This window comes from Homo sapiens, chromosome 5, assembly GCF_000001405.40.
Source record: "Homo sapiens chromosome 5, GRCh38.p14 Primary Assembly".
In the NCBI taxonomy this organism is placed as follows: domain Eukaryota; kingdom Metazoa; phylum Chordata; class Mammalia; order Primates; family Hominidae; genus Homo; species Homo sapiens.
Window position 1 is genome coordinate 92317923 of NC_000005.10, and position 19921 is coordinate 92337843.

General features: G+C 34.1%; 1 long non-coding RNA gene across 7 annotated transcripts in view; it reads left to right on the forward strand.

Moving 5' to 3' along the window:
• The first annotated feature begins 6202 nt into the window (after positions 1-6202).
• Positions 6203-19921, forward strand: part of LOC105379080 (uncharacterized) — a 166831-nt gene continuing 153112 nt past the window's right edge. For 6 of the 7 annotated variants that reach the window (XR_001742806.2, XR_007058867.1, XR_007058865.1 and 3 more), the window contains exons 1-2: positions 6203-11449; positions 14527-14645. This is a non-coding gene — a long non-coding RNA (uncharacterized LOC105379080). Of the gene's footprint in view, positions 11450-14526; positions 14646-16291; positions 19731-19921 lie in introns of those variants that run through there. The other variant, XR_948564.4, reaches the window with a different exon arrangement.

Consider the following 19921-nt stretch of genomic DNA (forward strand, 5'->3'; position numbering starts at 1 on the left):
ATAGTAGGTCAATATTCTGTCATTTTTCTCTCCCCTTCATATAACACAAAGAGCATGCTTTACTTCCAAATATCTATTTGTTATGGTTATTAAGCATGCAAATATTTGAAAAAGTAGGCTTATTACCTACCAAGTGTCTAATATTTAGGAGAGTACAGATTTTAGCTTGTATTTTCCTCATATCTGTGGATAGTTATCAATATTCAGGCTGCTTATTAATGGTAATTTGTTTTCCTATTTAGTTTTCAGTGTTTATACAACTGTTTCACTTTGGGAAACACACCAACTTCCAAATAAGCACAGGTAAATTAGGAGAAAAGTTACTTTTATCTTAATAAAGCAAAATATTCTCAATTAGAGTGACTTTTGTGCTGACTTTATATAAGATTTAAGGTGTATGATAGTTCTATTTTTAATTTTTGAAGAACTTTCATTCTACTTTTCATAGTTGATATGGTTTGTCTCTGTGTCCCCACCCAAATCTCATCTTGAATTTTAATCCCCATGTGTCAAGGAAGAAACCTGGTGGGAGGTGAGCAGTTTCCCCATGCTGGTCTGGTGGTTGTGAGTGAGTTCTCGTGAGAGCTGATGGTTTTAAAATGTGACACTTCTTCTTGCTCATTGTCTCTCTCTCTCTCTCTCCTGCCACATTGTGAAGCAGATACTTGCTTTTCTTTTTCTTTCCTTCCTGAAGGTAAGTTTCCTGAGGCATCTCCAGCCATGTGGAACTGTGAGTCAATTAAACCTCTTTTTTAAAAATAAATTAACCAGTCTCAGGTAGTATCTTTACAGCAGTGTGAAAACAGACTAATACAGAGAATTGATACCGAGAATGGGGCACTGCTATAAAGATAACCCAGAAATCTGGAAGCGACTTTGGAACTGGGTAATAGGCAGAGGTTGAAACAATTTGGAGGGTTCAGAAGAAGACAGAAAGATGTGGGAAAGTCTGCAACTTCCTGGAGACTTGCGGAATGATTTTGACCAACATGCTGATAGTGATATGGACAATGAAGTCCAGGCTGAGGTGATCTCAGATGGAGATGCAGAACCTATTGGGAACTGGAGCAAAGGTTACTCTTGCTATGCTTTAGCAAAGAGACTGGTGGCATTTTTCTCCTGCCCTAGAGGTCTGTGGAACTTTGAACTTGAGAGAGATGATTTAGGGTATCTGGCAGAATAAATTTCTAAGCCGCAAAACATTCAAGAGGCTTCCTGGATTTTCCTGAAAATGTACAGTTATATGTGTCCACAAAGAGATGATTTGAAATTGGAACTTATGTTTAAAAGGTAAGCATAGTATAAAAGTTTGAAAAATGTGTAACTTGACTATGTAGTAGAAAAGGAAAACTGATTTTCTGGGGAGAAATTCATGCCGGCTGCAGAAATTTGTGTAAGTAATGAGGAACCGAATATTAATTGCCAAGACAATGGGAAAAAATGTCTCCAGTGCATTTCAGAGATCTTCATGGCAGCTCCTCCCATCACAGGCCCTGAGACCTAGGAGGGAAAAATGGTTTCCTGGGTGGGGCCCAGGGACCTACTTCTCTATGCAGCCTCTGTACTTGATGCCCTGCATCCCAGCTGCTTCAGCTCCAGCCATGGCTAAAAGGGGCCAAGGTACATACATCTCAAGCCGTTGCATTAGACAGTACAAAATCCAAGCCTTGGCAGCTTCCACATGGTGTTGGTACTGAGGGGATGCACAGAAGACAAGAGTTGAACTTTGGGAACCTTCATCTAGATTTCAGAGGATGTAGGGAAACATCTGGATGTTCAGGAAGAAGTCTGCTGCAGGGGCAGAGCCCTCATGGAGAACCTCTACTAGAGCAATGCAGAGGGGAAATGTGGGGTTGGAACCCCCATACAGAGTCCCCACTGGGGCATCGTCTAGTAAAGCTGTGAGAAGAGGGCCACCATCCTTCAGACCCCAGAATGGTAGATCTACTGACAGGCTGCACCATTCACCTGGAAAAGCTGCAAGCACTCAAGGCCAATCGGTGAAAATAACTTCAAGGGCTGAACTCTTCAGAGCCACAGTGGCAGAGCTACTAAAGGCTGTGGGAGCCCGCCCCTGGCATCAGCATGATCTGGATGTGAGACATGGTGTCAACAAAGATTTTGCAGCTTTAAGATTTAATGACTGATCGGCTGGGTTTTGAACTTTTGTGGCCCGTGGCCCTTTGTTTTGGTCAATTTCTTCAATTTAGAATGGGAACATTTACCCACTGCCTGTATCCATATTGTTCTTGGAAATAATTAACTTGCTTTTGATTATACAGGCTCATAGGTGAAAGGGAGTTGCCATGTCTCAGATGAGACTTTGGACTTGGACTTTTGGGTTAATGCTGAAATGAGTTAAGACTTTGGGGGACTGTTAGGAAGGCATGATTGGTTTTAAAATGTGAAAAGGACCTGAAATTTGGGAAAGGCCAGAAGTGGAATGATATGGTTTGGCTCTGTGTCTCCACTCAAATCTCATCTGGAATTGTATTCTTCATGTATTGAGGGAGGGACCTGGTGGGAGGTGACTGGATTATGAGGACGGTTTCCCCCATGCTGGTCTGGTGATAGTGAGTTCTCACAAGATCAGATGGTTTTAAAGTGTGGCACTTCCCGTTGCTCGCTCTCTCTCCCTCCTACAGCTTTGTGATAACAGTACTTGCTTCTCCTTCTGCTTCCAGCATGATTGCATTTCCTGAGGCCTCTCTAGCCATGTGGAACAGTGAGTCAATTAAACCTCTTTTGTTTACAAATTACGCGGTCTCAGGTGGTATCATTATAGCAATGGGAGGATGGACTAATACAGTAGTTGCTTCATTTTACATTCCCAACAACAGTATATGAGGGTTTCAAGTTTACCACATCATTGGAAACACTTGTTATTTTTTTTAAATAATAGTCATTGTAATAGGTGTGAGGTGATACCGTATTGTAGTTTTTATTCACATGTTCCTGATAATTGATGATATTGAGCATGTTTTCATCTATCTGTTGGCTATTAGTGTGTCTTCTGTAAAGAATATCTGTACAAATCCTTTGCCCACTTTTTAATCGGGTTATTTTATTATTATTATTGGGTTGAAATTCCTTTCTGGATTATATATCCAAAAATATTGAAATCAGAATCTCAAGGAGATATCTGCATGCCCATGTTGATTGCAGCATTATTTACAATAGCCAATATATGAAAAAATCTCGTGTCCATTAAGAGATTAATGATTTAAAATGTGGCATACACAAACAAAGGAATATTTTCCATCCTTATAAAAAAGAAATTCTGCCATTTGACATTATGGATGAACCTGGAGGATATTACACTAAGTGAAATAAGCCATTCACAGAAGGACAGATATTGTAAAATTCCACTTATTGGAGGTATCTATACTAGTCAATTCTTAGGAGGAAAAAAGACAATAATGATTTTCAGGGTCTACAGGGTAAGAAAAATGGAGAATTGTTCAATGGGTATAACATTTCAGTGATGTTAGATAAGTTCTAGAAATATAGACAGTGCCTGTGATTAACAATACAGTACTGTACACCTCAAAATTTGTTGAAAGGGGTTACATGTTAAGTGTTCTTTTTTTTTATTATACTTTAAGTTTTAGGGTACATGTGCACAACTTGCAGGTTAGTTACATGTGTATACATGTGCCATGTTGGTGTGCTGCACCCATTCGAAACAAAAACAAAACAAAAGTACAGAAGAAAACATTGAGAGGTGTTGGATGTGTCTATTACCTTGATTGTGGTGATGCTATCAAGGTTGTTTGAATATGTTCAAATTAATCAAACTGTACACATTATATATGTAAAGTTCTTTGCCTATCACTTACTCCTCAATAAAACTGTTATAAAAAGAAAGAAAAGAAAATGCCAAGGAATATTCAAAAAACCCCTAAAACTAATAAGTGAGTTTTACAAGGTCACAGGATCTATGCAAAATTCAACCATAGTTTTTTAATAGTGGAAATGGATAATTGGAAAATAAAGTATTTTAAAAAAGAATATAATAGCTCATAAATGCTTAGATATAAATCTAACAAAACATGCACAGGTATATGGAAAAATACAAAATATTAATGAAAGAAAAGAGTCCAAATAATTGGGTAGACAAAAAATGCCCAGAGATTTGTGGACTCCACAAAGTAAAGATCTCACTCTCATCCAGATTGATTCTGGATTTACTGGAATTTCAATAAAATTATAGTAAATCTAAAATTTTCTTTCTAAATTTTATATAATTCTAAGCTGTATAAGGAGAGCAAATGAATTAGGATAGCTAAAACAATTTCAATGAAATATAAGATAGGAAGACTCTATCCTTGTAAGAATTACTTTATCCTTTATAGCAAATCTCACATTAAGACTTGCTATAAAGCTACAGCCATCAACAGAATGTGGTATCAGCGATGAGACAGAATTACAGATCAATGAAGTAGCAGAGAGAAACCAGATATAGATCAATGCAATTATGGCCAATTGATTGTCAACAAAACTGCAAATGGAGAAATATTAGATTTTTCAACAACTGTTTCTGGAACAGTTGGATATACATGCACCAAAAAAACAAATAAGCAAGAAAAAACCCTCAACCTAATCTTCATGCTTTATACAAAAATATACAAAATAAACATAGATATACATCCAAGATATAAAGATATAAAATATTTAGAAAAAAACTTAGTGACCAGGGTTAGGCAAATTGTTCTTAGAAGAAGAGTAAAAAGAAAAAAAGATCAATTAGATTCATCAAAGTTGATAATTTTTCCTTTTACAAAAAATGGGTAAGAGAATACAAATCACAAATCTGGTAAAGGAACATATAAATAACAAAATGTATAAGGAATACAAAGATATACACACACACACACATATATATATACACATAAATGTATACACACACATGTAGATGTATATAAAGAACTAAGTTAAAAATTAAAAAGCCTGTGATCCAATTAAAAGTGGGCAAAACGTTTGAACAGGCATTTCACCAAGGAGGATATAAAAATGGCAAATAAGCATATAGAAAAATGTTCATCATAATTAGCCATTAAGAAAATGTAAATTAAAACCAGAATGAATTACTACTACATACCCTTCAGAGTAGTTAAAATCAAAATGCTGATAATGTCAAGCACTAACAAGTTGGTGGAGCATCTGTAACTTGCACACATTTTTGGTGAAAATGCAAATTAATAGAGCCATTCTGAAAAACAGTTTGGAAGTTTCTTATAAAATTATACATACTTTCATCATATGACCAAAGACTATTACTCTTATGTAATTAGAAAAAAAATTATGTTCACACAAAAATCTGTAACAAGAATGTTTACAGCATCTGTATTCCTATAATGTAGTTCATTTAAGCAATTTTTTTAAAAAGTCAACTTTTGATACATCTAACAACTTGAATGTATCTTGAATGCATTATGCTGAGTTAAAGAACTCAAATCATTACACGCTGTGAGATTCCATTTATAATACATTCTCTAAAAGACAGATGTACACTGTTAGTGAACATATCAGTGGTTGATGTGGGTTAGGTGCATGGATGTGTGGGGGTTGGCAGGGAGTATAAAGGAATAAAACAAGGAATTTTTTTTAAAGGTGATGAATCTTCTCTGAATTGTAATTTTGGTGATGTTTAATTCTATACATGTTAATATTCATGAAACTCTATACCAATAACAATATTCAATTTATGATAGAATCTATTACCAATAGATACCAATAACAATAGTCAATTATGGTAAAATTTATGGTTAAAAATTAAAATTAATTTTAAAAAGAAAAGAAAAAAGTGCACAAAAACACTGGTAATAAAATTTGATAAGTTGTTTACATTTTATCTAGCTTTTTTTTGTTTGTTGGCATAAACAGGAACCTATAAAAGTGTAACTATGCCTACACTCAATTCATGCTTCTTGAAAAGATCCTGTAATTTAGAATTCTAGCTTCTTTATAATTTTAGTGTTTCACTTGTAGTCATTACACTAGTAAAATCAATCTTATTTAGTCATATGTCAGTAAATTTTTGGTATCCAAATAGAACATAGTTATAAACCTATGCTACAAATTAATAGTAAAAGAAAACAGTTTTTTAATTTTTTCTATAAATGACATTTTCCTCAAGTAGCCTACCCCACTGGGAAGCAAGAAAAAGTAACAAAAATCAAAAATGAATTTATAGTTCAATCTGGTTAAATATTTCAGTAATCCCTTAGAGAAACTTCTCATTCTCTTTACATGAAATGCTGAGTATTTTCAGGTTCTCTGCCCCTCTCCAGTAGTGCCTGGAGATATGGGGATGGTGTATAGTTTTCATGACCTTGTGGGGCAGGAGGGAAATATACTCCTTAAATCCACCTTGTGTTCTCCAGATCATCAGGGTTTCTCTAATGGAATAACTAATTTGGGCTTCTCCCTGGACTGGTAACTGAGATCTGAACTTACCATCCCTGATCATCATACTGGTATCTGATGCTGAATGGATTGTGCTCATGACCTAACCTTGGATTTTTAATTTGTTTATTTGGCTAGGATACATGCCTGTAGGCTGGTTGGTTTCACTTTGGATTTTATTGGATGTGAAATTCCTCTCAGCATTCACTGTTTTTTTTTGTTTTTTTTTTTGTTTTGTTTTTACCTGGCTCACAGGTCAGCCAGTCTATACCAAAGCTTCTGCTCCAGTACCATCTCTTGCGTTGCTGTGGTGGTCCAAACAGTAGGCATTCTAACTATCTGCTCAGCTCCTTTACATAGTTCAACTGTATGACATTAAGGAGCATTTGAGTCTCAATCATACCATGCAGGACTCAAGAGGTGCTCAGGAAAGCAGCATTCCTGCCTGCCTTCTAGCTTAATCAGTTTTTCCTAGAAACGCCATTTGACATGGCCACTCTCAAGATTCTGTTATAGGGCAAGTTTCAAGGGAATCTCCTTCAAATATTTTAAATGTGAAGTGTTGCAACACCTTGCCTTGACATTTCATGATGTTATACACCTCTCCATTCTGGGACCAAACATGGAGAAAGAATATCAAAACACATATGTTTTAACTTCTGTCTTTCTTACCTGAATCAACTTTTTTGTGCCATCAATCATAATGGTGGAAATAGGCATTGGACTCCTCCCTTCTTCAACATCCTATCTGGATACTGGATCCTTCCCTTCTTCAGCATCCTGTTTAGAAGTGGTCTAGTATGCTTCTTGTTAAATTTCAGTGCTAAATCAATTAGAATATTATTTTCTGTCTTTGGAAGACCTGTCTTTCAAGCCCATTTTTTAGCTATGAACTTGGAAATCCTACTTTGGTTGTCAGAGGATATGTATTAATCCTTTCTTTTTCATATAGTTTATCAGTTAGATGTTTGTTATAGAGAACACAGACAACTCTTCCAAACCTACAAAGAAAATGATTCATTGCCAGATATTTAATGGCTGAAAATATCGTCAATAGAACTTGCTTCAGGCCAAAATTCCAGGAACAACTCTTAATCTCCAGAATCACACTGCAAGATGCAGTTCCATGGTTCAAAATCGTGAAGTTGCTTACTTCAGAATGATGCCACATTCAGGAAACTGCTGCTATTACTAAGGAAATTCTCTAAATCAAGTGGTCATTAACTGTAGAGTCATATTGCTGGTGACATGCTTCAATAGAATGGATGCATCACACCTTGACTTTTTCCACTTTGTACAATTCCAAATTCAGAGAATGCATGAGAACATATAATGGATGGGAGCTAAATAAAATCTTGAATCCCAGTTATAAGAAAATATAAAAATATAATCTTTATCAGAATCTGTACTTCAAGAAAGTACAATAGAAAGAAGTTGACATAGATACTAAATGAGCTAATCTATGGTATCCATTAATGCAAAGCATTAAAGGTACTGCATTAGCATAGAGTGATTTTAATATATTTAAAATATCTTGTTTGGTATTTACTTATTGCTATTATTTATTTTTACTATTATTTACATGACAGTTTAAAAAATTTAAATCCTCCTCAAACACATAGGTAGCTCAAGGTAACAAGAGAGTTATGAACACTTAAAATGTGTAGGAGAAAACCTCATTAATATATGCCTGTGATGTTTGTACATTAACATAAATTTTTAAGACAGACACAAATTCAGACAGGCTCACTATTTTCCTGACCTTATTATATCTGAAATATCATAATACTCAAGGTTACTTAGTGGACATTTGCCATTTGTTTAAATCCACCCAAAATGGAACTGTAAATAGTCTAAATTCATATCTCAGAATTTACCTTTTTCTACAGCTAATTTCTCTTCTCCATTCTCATTATCTTTGACTTATTGTATTCTCTTCTACTTCTCCTTTCCTAGATTTTTTCATTAAATTATCTTATTTGATTCCCTTTACTCTTCATCTTGCCTTTTATCATTTCTTTGCTTTTTGTTTTTTCATCATTCTGAGTATATTTGTATTACCCAGACATTTGGGAAGCATTATTCTACTTTTATAACATTTCTGTTATTAGAAGTTAAATTGACTTGAAATATTTAATCATGTGTGTATATTTTAATAGCATGCTGAAAATTAATATAATGACTAGCCTATTTCCAAAGATTGAATGCTTACTTTAATTCTGTCTTTGGTAATAATAGAATCAGATCCATATCCAATAGAAATTAATTAATTATAGAGGAAGATGATGCCTTTCCTCGTTGCTTGCACTGCTTTAATGTATGTATAATACCTATTTTATCACAATTTGTAAATCCCCAACAATGCCTAGAAAGGTTTTATCATGGTAGATACTTAATTCTTATTCATTAGAATTTGGCTATAGGTTTTTTTCACTTTACTCCTAGCATTTTTGACAAAATTCCAGAGGAGATTCAGAAATTAACAGAGTAATTAAAACTGGTCAGAAAAATGAGCAAAACAGAACATGCCATTTAATAACTGAATAAAAAAAGAGTTCCAAACAACCAGCTTATAAGTAGGAGTGATGCATTTCCTTTTGATCTTTACCAACAAGTGGAATTGCTGGATTGTATGACAGCTCTATTCTGATGGACCTCCATACTGCTTTCTATAATGGTTGTACCAATTTACATTCCACCAACAGTGTGCAAGGGTTGTCTCTTCTCCACACCCTTGCCAACAATTTTTATTTCTTGTTTTTTAATCATCATTTTTGTAATACATATTATTTATAATTTTTCAGACTACTATAATTAAACACATTTTGCTCTTTATTGATAATGTGTGTTCTTATTTTGAATATTTATCATTAAACATTGTAATAACACAAATCTGTGTGAATTTTTGTGTGTCCAAGCTTCCTTCTTTAGTACCAAGTGGTCGCTTCCACTTTACTCGTCCATTTCTTGTGGATTTCAGTTTCTAATTCCGGATGGGCTTGAAAATCAGAACACTATTCAGCTTAAGCTTTGAGTGATACAGTAGTTTATAAATTCCTAAACGTGGTTCCAACAAGTGTATTATGTAGCTTTAGCTCATACTAAAGCTGTAAAGTATTTCAGATACCTAGTCCATGAATTTTCTAATAATTTAGGGGAGGTTCCCAAACTGAGGTAGTATTAAAATATTGAGGAAATCAAAAATAATATTTGAGTCATTAAAATCAAAGTAATGAGCAATCAGAGAGATGATTTAAGTCATTTTAGGGAAAAGTTTCCCTTATTACAGAGGAGCATGGTAAATCAATGCATGAGAGACTAAATAATTATTTTAGATGTGTTGTGCAATGTCCAGCAGAATTTAAATCACAGAAAGGTTTACATTTGAACAGTGAAAGATACCTGCAGTATTCATAGATACCTGCGAATAGTTAGGCAAATATGTTTTCAAATAAAATACAAAGTTTACACTTGTTTTGCCTAACACGGTTGTACAGGCCAATGATTAAATGCACCAACTTTGGAATCAAGATTTCCTGGATTCAAATTCAAGCTCCACCATTGGCAAATTATTTAACCTACATGTGCCTCAGTTCCCTCATCTATATGTGGAGGCAATAGTTACACTCTCTTATAATGTTTTTGTTAGCATTGTCAGAAGATAGCTCATGTGGAGCATTTTAGAAGAATACTTATGTTTAACAGCCAACAGGTTTGCTTATTAAACTGTAGAGAAAAATTAAAAAGAAAAATCAAGAAGTTCTTCACTAGTTTAATTTTTCTACAAATGATAAAATGTTTCTGATTATATATGCTATGAATTTGTTTAATGTCTTGTTGAGGCATCTGAAGTGTGTGTGCATGTAAATATTGGCACATTTCTGAACACAATTTACACCGAGCCAAAGAGAGTCACTAATATTTGTTAAATTGCTTTTCTAAAGTGGGAAAAGTAGCATCTTTTCCAAAGGGTGCTTTATTCACACTAACTAATTAAGTGAATGAGCTTTCTGGTTTTAATTAAGTGGAGTGTTTGTATATGTATATGCTTGTTTATATACTCAGCAGCAATAAGGGTGAGATTTTAATATAGAAAGGAAGAAATAGCCACTAAGAAAGTTCAAGCCCATTCAAGTAAAAATCCTAACCTGATAGTTTTAGGCAATGCAAAGTTAATGGACTGGTTTGAATTCCATAAAGTGGTACTTTTTTATCATCTGAAATGGCTCATGGATCTCATATGAACATACCTAATATTTCTGGAGCATTAACTCTTCAGAGGTATAATCACACTGTGTATCAATAAAGATAAAATACGTGATAAGTGAAATTTTGCTTTCTGGCTGCTTTGGGATTATGTGGCTAATGACCATCAGGCAGACACTCAGGCAATTACAATGGGGAGATTTCTTAGCTCTGAAAGCACAGGCAAGATTCCAAAATGTGCAAAACAAGCAGAGCATAGAGTAGGGGCAAAGGTGATATATTCATGGATGAGTGCAAGTTTTGGTTTTCAGGAGTTCAAGGAGCAAGTCTGTTCAGAATATTGTTATAAAGCAGATAGAGGACAAAAGCATAATTGAAATAACCGGAATGTACATAGGCTAACTGCATTGCTTTATGTGGTGTGGTTCTGTGGAAAGATTATTAGACTTACAAGAGTGAGGACTCACAGTTCTGCCAGCAAATAAGCTGAGTGGCTTCAGACAAGCCACTTTACTTATCTCTGGGCCTCAGTTTTCCCGTTTATGGATTAAAGACATTCACAGACATTGGCTGAGTGCCCGCAATGTGCCAGCTATTGAGCTAAACTTGGGATGCTAGAAAAGACAATCCCTTTTCTGGATTAGGAAGTTTACATTTTAAAGATGCAAGAAGGCACTAAACAAGGGCAGTGAGGTACAACAAGCTCTGTGGTTTTATTTCTCCTAAATGGGAGGAAACATAGAGAGGAAGAAAAGTATGCAATCTCAGTTGCAAATGGAGGCAGGGGCTCACCATGTTCTCTGATACGATTGTACCGCCCATTGGTAAGAATCAGGTAATTGTCCTGAGCCTTGTCGAGTTGTTTATTTGTTTGTTTCTTGCAATAGCTTCTAACGTAATTGATCTGCTAAGAATTATTTATAAACTCTCTCATGTAAATGCCCTTACAATTGTCAATGGCTGTAATTCTATATCAAGATCAGTGCTATGGCATCTTTGATATAGCTATGAACTTCAAGTTTTATGTTTAAACTTATAGTATAATTTTTGGAAAAATTATTCAATGGTAATGATGTAAAAAATCAATAGGAATGGAAACATGACAAATGTTTCAACAATTAAAATAAAATATTGCTTTCTGTTTAAAAGAGCATATAGTCACCTTTCAAGTTAAACTTTGGTCTTACAATCTGTTTTAATGATATAAGAGAAAATAAGCTTAATTAGGTTCATTGTAAAGTCCTCAAAAGAGCAGATCAGAATATCGGTCACTACCTTGTGGCCCAGGTAGAATTCCATAGTGCACAAATTACTGAAGCTCTTTGAATATCTGAACAGTCAGAAAACTCTATTTAGAATTATGCATATGACAGAGACTAGAATGTGTTCTAAGAATAGCTTACATCACATCAAGAAGAAAAGCACCAGATGATTACTTTTAGTCAATTCTATTTTTGTACTGTAGGTACTGATAAAAAGCTTCTAACATAACGGAAGTAGCTGTTGCATCACAACATATCATCACATTTTAGAATTGGAAGAAATTGAACATGCATCTAATATAATTCCTTTGGACTAGGTCCGAGAAATAAAAGACACACTCAAGTTCACAGAAATATACAATTCTGACTCTTATATTCAGTGCTCTTACACATGTATTTTGCTGCTTTGTTATATAAAAATAACAGTAAATACAGATTCAAAAGTTTGGGGAACTTGTGAGTTGAAAGAACAAATCATAATAAAGCAAACCTAATAAAAGAAAATCTATATTTACACACATGACTAAATGTCAGCGATTTTTATCTTTACAAAAGGATTCACTGAAAGCTTCTGTTAAGTGGTAAACTATGTTTTTTCAAGACTTTTATTTGTTTGTACTATATTGATAGCACTATACATGTATTACATAAAATATACCTACTCATAAACTGTCTTTGAGTTATTGGAGTGATTTCTGTTCTGAGAATTCTGAATTTGTTAATGGACAGATAATGCAGAGAGAAAACTTGATTAAAGCCCTGGCAACAGATGATACTATGACTATACCTCAACTAAAATGCCATGTCATAAATAGTTATTTTAATATTTATGGTACTTACTTTTGAGTAGGGATATGGGAAAACCTCTCAAAAGCTATCATCCAGGTTTTAATATAAGGAGGAACAAACCTAGGAGAGTACTGGGAAATGGGGAATAAATGTATAGAAGTATCTGGCACTGTTAGTTAGTCAGGAAATAAGACATTAATAAAGAAAATCTTTTTAAAATTTTGATTATCTACATGCCTTATAAAATATCGCTGCTATACAATATATGATAAAATCTGAGTTTTTCTTACATAGTTTTTCTTCCAAATCTTTTCAACATGTTCTTAACATCCATGATGTTTAACAGATCTTAAACATTGTTGAAAATATACCATTTTCAATAATATTGCTGTTTTTCCATTCCTATATATGCCACTAAGTGCCTGCCACTTAGTGGACACTTAACACAAATTTGTTGAATGAATACATGAATATGTGTTGATTTTCAATGTAGGAACAATTTTAAAATATCAAAAAAATTATTCAATTTCTTGGTCTTTAAATAGCTTATTAGAGGAATAAATTCTAACTGAAAATGATAATAACTAAACTTTATTATCTCCTATTTATTACAGGTATTACACAGCAAGTGGGCACCAATATATCATTTCCTCAGTAGTCATAACTGCAATGGATTTTGTTACATCAGTATAGCCAATTTACCAAAGAAGTTTGGTCAAAACATCAAAGAATGCCTTACCAATAATCGGATAGTGCCTTTTAACTGTGTCCAAGACCCTACATACTAAGTAGCTTAGGTTGTGATAATAAAACCTAGATGAACTGCAAACTGCAGTCCAAAACAACACAGGTCATCTCATCTTCTTTGGATAGCTTCCACAACTAAGGCAGCATATGTGGGTCTTATGATTTTAGAATATAGATGACATCGTCTATATGATAGAAGAACTTTAATAAACACCCAAGTAAATATATGGAAACTCACAATTGCTATAATTTTGAAATGTAAGGAATTTGACATAACAAAATAGGATGAATTTTGCCTTTGCAGATCAAATACTTTTCAATGCCAGTCTTTTGATGTTTTGATAGCCTATGCATGTATGTAAGCCATATTTAGAATGCTGCATTGAAGAAGGAATCCGGGCCAGATTACTTGCATTAACTTTGGATGCTCTTTGTTAACTATACTTCTAGAATTACAGAGAAGCCTGAGGCCACATTGAAGGGTAATTGAATGACTTGATTCTTGGTAGTAAATTGCAGAAATTAAAGAATAATTTCCCACACTATGTTTATTGACCTCATGAAAGCTATTAATGTCGTTAAAAGGCCTGGCTGCACAAAGACAGTCAAGTATCATGGTTGACTTAGCTTTTTGCTCCTGTGTCCCTCTAACTATCACAGCTGGGGTCATTACATTCATTCTTTCATTTATTAAATAAATATTTATTGAGTGCCCGCTATATGCCAAGCTTCCCACTTGGTGTAGAAGTGACAAGGAGTGAATGAGATGTGATTCCTTATGCAGCTGAACACTGGTAACTTAGAAGAATCAGATTAATACTAGCCTTATTTGACCTTGCATGCAGACTCAAGTAGCTGTGTAACCCTCTTGACTTCTCATCTCTGAGTCATTGCCTTACTTCTTGGCCTTACTTCCTTATTTTGGGGATCATTTTGTACGTGTTTGCTCTTAGGCACTCCTAAACACTGGAATTCTGCTTCAGATCCTCAGAATTCATGGCATATCATTCCTCCACTATCCTGTTCTCCACATTTTCAGCTAAGCCATCATTAAGCATCTGAATGTTGGTTATTACCAGATTCCTTTGATAGCCTGTTTCTCTTTCATTCTTAGAGGCTGAAAAGATTCTGTTACTGAAACTCAACACTTAGTTGATACCTGCTACAACTTTAACTACTCGTTGACTGTTTACGGCTTTTGCTGTAAGTTGGAGTATGGTGACAAACACACAAGTAAGTTTGCAAAGGCATAGAATATTCATGCCTTAAATAATATCTACCTTAACTTCTAGGCTATATGGTCATTGAAAAATAGAGCTAAGTTGTATTCATCTCTTGTCACTCAGTATTTAATACATGGATATTTTGTTTTATTAAATATTTACATGTATCAATGCCAAATAGTTTTATAGATTAGCTGAAGCGGATTAACTCCTTCTTCATTTAAGAATGACTCAGTTAGGTTAGCAAAGAGAAGTGAGTGATTTTAATCTATAAATTTCCCTCCAACTTGGCATTATTTGCTTCCTCCTTGTAGGGTTAATTCAAAACGGTCCAGAGCTTTAGTAATTTGCTGGTTAGGTGCATTTTCCCCAAAACTCTCATAGTACTGTTCTTGTTGACTTCTTTAATACTAGCTCTAATTGCTACAGTATGTGTGTTGTGTGTGTGTGGGTTTTTTTTCTAGATGTAATTTACCTACTAAAATATTCACCTGTTTGAAGTAAAGAATTCAGTATTTTTTTGTATATTTGCAAGGTGGTATGGTTGTCACAACTATCAAGTTTCAGGATATTCTCAGCCCAGTAAAAAACTCATACCTTTTAGCAATCACTCCTCTCCCTTCCAAACCTTTGAAGAGATAATCTACTTTCTGTATCTGTGCACTTGCCTTTTCTAAACATTTCATATAAAAATATCATGCAATATGTAGCTTTTTGTATCTGACATTTTCACTTAGTGTAATATTTTAAAGGGTTATCTACATTGTAGCGTAAATCACTACTTTCTTTCTTCTTTGTTTTTTTTTTTTCTGAGACAGAATCTCACTCTTTGCCCAGGCAGGAGTGCAGTGGCAGGCTCTCAGCTCACCGCAACCTCCGCCTCCTGGGTTCAAGTAATTCTCTGCCTCAGCCTCCTGAGTAGCTGGGATTACAGGCATCTGCCACCACACCCAGCTAATTTTTTTTTTTTTGTAGAGACAGGGTTTCACCATATTGGTCAGGCTGGTCTCAAACTCCTGACCTTGTGATCTTCCCTCCTCGGCCTCCCAAAGTGCTGGGATTACAGGCATGAGCCTCCACACCCGGCCCTGCTTTCTTTCCTTCTCTTTTGGCTGAATAATGTTTTATTGCATGTATATGCTACCTTTTATTTATTCCTTCATCAGATAATGAACATTTAGATTGTTTGCACTTTTTGGCTCTTTTGAATAGTGCTGTGATAAACATTTAGATTGTTTACACTTTTTGGCTTTTATGAATAGTGCTGCTATTAACTTTCAAACAAGTTTGTGTGTGGACATGTGGTCTCAGTTATCTTGGATATATACATAGCAGTATAATCTGTGGATCATATGGAACTTTATGCTTAACTTTTTAAGGAACTGCCAAACTGTTTTTCAAAGTAGCTGCATTATTTTATATTCTGACCAGCAAAAGTATGAGGGCTCATATTTTTCCAAATCTTTGCCAGCACTTCTTATTGTCTGCTCTTTTGCTTAGAAACCTCCTAGTGTATGTGAAGTGGTTATCTCACTGTGGCTTTTCCTAATGCATTTCACTTTCCTGTTGGCCAATGATGTGGAATATATTGTCCATTTGTACATCTTCTTTAGAAAAATCTCTATTCTAATCTTTTGCCCATTTTTTTTTTTACAGAATTATTTGATCTTCCTGTTGAGCTCTAGCTAAGGGTTCTTCATATATTCTGGATATTAGACCTTCATCAGATATGTGATTTACAAATATTTTTTCCCATTTGTTTGTTACCTTTTCACTATCTTGATACTCTACTTTGAGGTGAAAATGCTTTTAAATTCGATGAAGTCCAATTTATCTATTTTTTCTTTGATTTCTTGTGCTTTTGGTATTATGTTTAAATATTGCATTTCTAGAATAAATGTCATGAATAATTATACTGATGATTTCTTCTAAGAGTTTTATAGTTTTAATGCTTATTTTTAGTTATTTGATTTATTTGGGGTCTATTTTTACATATAATGTGAGGAAGGATTACAACTTCCTTCTTTTTCATGTAGATATGCAGATGTTTGCAGCACCATATGTCAAAAAAATCTCTTCTTTCCTCATAAAATTTTCTTGACACTCTTGTTAAAATTCAATTGACCATAAATGTATGGGTTTATTACAGTACTTATATTTCTATTTCATTGATTTATACATCTATCCTATGCAAGTACCACAAAGTCTTGATTACAGCAGTTTTATAGTAAGCTTTGGAATTGGCGAGTATATGTTTTCAAACTTATTACTTTCCAAGATTGTTTAGATAATTCTCAGTTCTTTTGTATTTAAATTTTTGCATCAGTATGTTAATTTATGCAAAAAATGCATTTGGGACTTGACAAGATTTTGTTAAATATGTGGATGAAGTTTTAGAGTATTACATCTTAACAAGTCTTTAATCCATGAACATGGAATTCCTTTCTATTTATTTAGGATTTCTTTATTTTATTTTAATGATATTTGGTACTTGCAGTGTACAAGTCTTATACTTCTTTTGTTTATTTATACCTAAGAATTTTATTTTTGATAATATTATAAATGTTATGGTTTCCTTAATTTAAATTTTTGTATTGTTCATGGGTATGTATAGAAAAAATACTTTGTACAATGATCTTATATCCTGAAACTTTGCTCAGTTCATTTATTTAATATTAGATTTAACTGTTAGGGTGCATCGCATGTGAATGTCTTATGGTAAGCAATTAGTTTCATATGCAATTCAGTTACACTCAAAAACAGATTCTGGGCTTGATTTTCAACACATTCTTTTCTGTGGCTGTGAGATGACAGCTTTAGGAAAACACTGCTAGAGGAGCCCTTTGCTTTTCAGATTATGTATTAAGATAAGAATTTTTAGCTTTCTGTTTCTTCTTCTTTTTCCCCAAAGCATCTAGCATTATTTAAAAAAAAAAAGTCATGCCATTTCTGGTACTAATTGTTTTAGCTTGCATTTCCTAGAAAATAAGCATGAAGCAAAATTTAAGCGTTAATGCTTTTGTGGGAAGTATAATCCCAAGGCAATGAAAGTTGGTGGAAAGCATCCAGAAGCTGAATGAAAATAAAAGGTTATGGGTTTTTTATTTGAGCACTACTTCACAAGCTAATAAAGAGACAAAGCAGGTTGATAGGCCTTGCAGCAAATCTTGGATAGGTGATACATATACAAGGACAAATCACAAGTGTGATAAATTTCAAAATTACTTATATTCCATATCTTCCCTGCTTCTTATTCCCCATTTACCAGCATTTGTTTGATGGATATTCTCTACTGATAGAACTCTTTTTCTGCCCAATCAAAACATTTTAGCAGCATAGTTTGGGAAATGGAGAGCAGGATAGCTATGTGAACAAATACAATATCTCATATATCTATTGACCATTTTAATAAGAAATATCACATAATTATTTTTATTAACTTGTGCACTAGAGTGTATGGCTTTTAATAAATATTTCAGAGAACTATGACCTTAATGTAGTTTTGTATGTTCTAAAGTCTGAAGCAGCCTTGTAAATTACATAGTATGCTGGATTATGAGCATATAATAGTGCCCTATTTTTTAAAGTCTTCTAAATTAATTCTATTCATAGTAATGTTATATTGTATAATTAATCTGGTACAACTAGTTCTACATTTCATTCCTTTATTAATAAAATATAAATTCACCCATGTTTTGATCCAGAGGACAATATTTTAATTAAATTTCTAAGCAAACTCTAAGTCTCTAAAAAATACTTTAGAAAACTTCATAAGACACTTAAAGGTTTAGAGCTACTTAGCAGATGCTGAGGCCAAGAAATAAAATACAAAACAAATTTAGCCACAAAATAAACTGACCTGCAAACTGACCTCCTAAGAGTTAAACTACAGAATATATTCAACTTTAAGTGTGATTAATATAGTGGCTTGTCATTGAAACAAACTGGTTCCTCAGTTACATGAACCTCTCAACCAAACCTCATATATTTTGATGAACAATAAACAGAATAACTGCACAAAATATTCTCTCAGTTGAGCTACTGACTTCACATCATTGCGGTAGGAAATTGAGGCAAGTTAGCTAGTTATCACTGCTGCCTCATTAGAATTTTAACAGAGAATAATGCTGATCTCTAGTAACTACTCCCTTGTTGTGGGAACGGAATAAGAGATTACCCTGTCTTCTTCTTTTATGAGGTCTAGAAATGACCTGGACATACAGGGCTATAAGATGAAAAAACAAACAAACAAACAAACAAACACAGGAGCAAAGAGAACAAGGGTTAGAAAGCAGAAGTGTGTGTGTGTGTGCGTGTGCGTGCGTGTGTGTGTGTGCATGCATGCGTCTGTGTGTGTGTGTGTGTGTGTGTGTGTTCAGTGAGGTTAGGACTGTTAAAATTTGAGCAGTTCAGACTTTCCACAAGATTCTCCTTGAATCCCTTGGTCATGTCAGAATTTCCTTCAGGTGTTGAAACTTTCCACCCAAACTCAGTATTTGTACATTTTACTTGTTAACGTCTTGGATGTCAGCCAAATGATAACTAGCTATATTTCATTTGATTTTGTGAAGATAGCTTGAGATTGCCTAGCTTCTGCAGCTTTCGAGCTCTCTTGGCAAATTCGGAATGTATGTTGTATGTTTTTAAGGCAATTGTCATCATTATGATACACTCATCTGAAAACCTTAGTTTCAAAACAAAGTGTTCTTTTAAAATCATATTTCAAAGATTCCTTCTTCAAACAGCCAATCTTTCAGTATTAAAATAATAAGATAGATATAAACCATAGCTTTAATTTGGGAGGAAGTGTTTGAAAAAAAACTGGTTACAAACAGGCCTTTCTTTTCAATGATTACACTCTGAATATTGTTTTCTGATTTACATTGGCAGCTAATAGTTAGAGGGACTTTTGCTGCTTCTGATTCTGACCATTTCAAATTCTGGTCGTTTTAAATAGAAATATAATAGGAATTTAAAAATAAGCATAAGCATAATTTAGCTGTGCCTACTGCTTACTAGGGCTGAGTACTTGTGCAAGTTGTTCATGCCCAATGAAGTCTGTCTATTTTGACTTAATAAATGTTTCCTGCATGAATAAATGAATGAATGTCTATTATTATGTGCCAAAAATATCAGTGGTTAAAAATATGAAGATTAATAGAGCACAACTTGTGACTTTCACAAGGTTTCAGAGTGAAAAGAGGAGAGACATGAAATAAAACAATCACAACCTTTATAGCAGTATGAATAAGACACCCTGGGAGCTACAGGGAGAAAAGAATTTAC